General features: G+C 49.4%; 1 long non-coding RNA gene across 1 annotated transcript, besides 1 other annotated feature; it reads right to left on the bottom strand.

The window, feature by feature from the left end:
- Positions 473-1,471: an enhancer, noted in NCBI's record as "H3K27ac-H3K4me1 hESC enhancer chr11:60679869-60680867 (GRCh37/hg19 assembly coordinates)". NCBI's record gives its function as "activates a minimal SCP1, AML or CMV promoter by ChIP-STARR-seq in primed H9 embryonic stem cells {active_cell/tissue: H9 hESC(primed)}" and the evidence as "EXISTENCE:reporter gene assay evidence [ECO:0000049][PMID:30033119]".
- On the bottom strand, positions 1,242-2,139 carry TMEM109-DT (TMEM109 divergent transcript). The gene is made up of 2 exons (NR_186356.1): positions 2,036-2,139; positions 1,242-1,553 (listed from the first exon to the last, which is right to left on the bottom strand). It is a non-coding gene; the product is annotated as a TMEM109 divergent transcript (long non-coding RNA).
- Positions 2,140-2,233: the final 94 nt, after the last annotated feature.

Genomic DNA, 2,233 nt, shown 5'->3' on the forward strand with positions numbered 1-2,233 from the left:
ACCCTGAACTGTCTGAGACTGTTTCTACTACCCACATGGAAAAGAGAGTTGAAAAGAAATTAATTTGTCATAGAAAAAAAAAAAGGTTAAATTTCTTTCCCAGGAAAGTCTGTGACCTGAGATTGTTAATCTTAGACATCAGAAAGGATCGCACAAGCAAATGTAAAATTGAAACTGTTAGAAAAGCTGGAAGGTGAGGTTTAGGATGCTACCAGAGCCTGTCCTGGAAGAAGGACTCTTAGCTGAGGGGCAGGAAGTGACAAGAGCTCAGATGAAGATGGATGTGTCTGAGGAACATCTGATGGAAAGAAACAACTGGGTGAGGTGACAGATTGGGAGCCTACAGAGTGTGTACTCTAGGAGGAAGGCAGAACTGGAAGGCTGAATGGTTGGGGGTGGGAGGGAAGAGTTACGTTTTAGAGGGTTGAGTTTGAGAAACAAGTTTTAACATCAAAAGGAAGCTCTCCTATGACAGCTCTTGATGGTGATAAAAACATTCAGTCAGCAACCTGGATTTTTTTTTTTTTTTTTAATGTTCATGCTTGTTGCTTCCTTGAAACTTCACACCTACTGTGAAGTGGTATTTTTAGGTCCTTTATAGTTCTTGAACGTCAAGCAATGAAGGCTCAGAGAAATGAAGCTGTGTGCTCAGGATCACACGACAGGCAAGAGATCACCTCATTCTGAAGCCCTGTTCATTCTCCTTCACGGTGCTGCTGAAGCAGGATATTGCCCTGACCTTTCACAGGACTCACAACAGGGGTGCCCCGTTTACTCAGCCCGCTGCTCTCAACTCCTCATGGGAGGGAGTACGCAAGTGAACAAGGCGGGAACTGGAGTGCACAAGCGCTGGAACAAGCCAGCCGTTTTTCAGCACCAGTGGGATCACACTCCACTCACTCAAGATTCACCGCGTTCCACCCCTCATAGGAGGGAGCGTGCAGGTGAGTGGGTGCAGGAGCCAGAGCGTGCGCTTTTGGACACCGGCAGGAGCGAACTCCGTGCAGGCCCCGGGGCAGTGTCCAGGCAGAGTGCCTGAGGCTCCTGAAGCCCCAGAGGGCATGTTACAGTGTTCTTTTGGCTCTGTCGTCCGTGGACAGCTTAAGTGTTAACAGCTCCGTGGGCCCGCGGTTGCCCTCCACCAGCAAGGGCAGAGGGCCAGCGTGACAGCTTTTGTATCCGCACTCGTGGCTCCCGAGCTCTTGTCCAGCGTCCAAGAAAAATAAAGCTGCACGAACAAATTAAAGGACAAATGCCTGGGATTTTATTGCTGATCAAAGTGGATTTCAGAGGGAAGGTGAGCTGAAAAGAGGGGGGTGGGACAGGCCGGTATGTAGTCTTCCCTTGAAGTCCAGCTATCTCCAGCCAGATTCGTCTCAGAAGTTACGCCTTAAGCTGTCCCTCTGAAGACAAGCTGCTTCTCTCTGACATCCAGCCATGGTCGTCCCCTCATCCAGCTGCTTCTCCTCTCTGCCAGATGAGTCTGGGGTCTTTCTAGGCACAGGATGAGGCAGGGCAGAGCCATGGGTGGCTTAGGAAAAGGCAACATTCAACTGGAAAAACATGGATAGAAGTTCTCACTTTGGGCCATGGTTTCAGGCTTTTTGGCTTGAGGGTGGGGTTTCACCAGGGACCCGCTCTTTTCTACCTAGCATTTATCTGCCTCCTGTCCCTATGCACTGCCTTTGTGGCAGAAAAAGGAGAGTGAGAGTTGGTTCCTCTCTTTCTCTGAAATTCTGAGCTAACATTTGGGAGCCGTCTACAGTATTCAGGTATGAATTTTCTCTCTGGGGGAGCGCATTCGTTTTCCTAGAGCAGTGTGCTTTTAATTGCTCCTTTAATATCTTTCTCTTTTGTGCCTTTTTAGCGCGAAAAGTGTATGGGAAGACTAGGTGCTCGTTAGCGGCTCGGTTAGAACTACATTGCCCACAATGCCCCAGGGAACATTTGTAGCTCTAGAACTACATGACCCAAAATGCCGAGTGGTGGCAAGAGGAGGATTAGCTTCCACTCCGATTTCAAAGATCCAGTTTACCCACTCTACAGCCCAGATATAGTCACTTATTTCCCCTTTCCAGCCAGAGACTTCCGTTCCCTGCTGGAACTTCCGATCCCATTCTTCTCTCGGTGGGAATGCTTGTGGGGGGAAAAAGAAACGCAATAGATAAAGCGGGGCGCATGCGCTCCCGGCACAGGCTTCGATTGTGAGGAAGGCCGGCTAGTCTCCGAGCTC

This window comes from Homo sapiens, chromosome 11, assembly GCF_000001405.40.
Source record: "Homo sapiens chromosome 11, GRCh38.p14 Primary Assembly".
In the NCBI taxonomy this organism is placed as follows: Eukaryota; Metazoa; Chordata; class Mammalia; order Primates; family Hominidae; genus Homo; species Homo sapiens.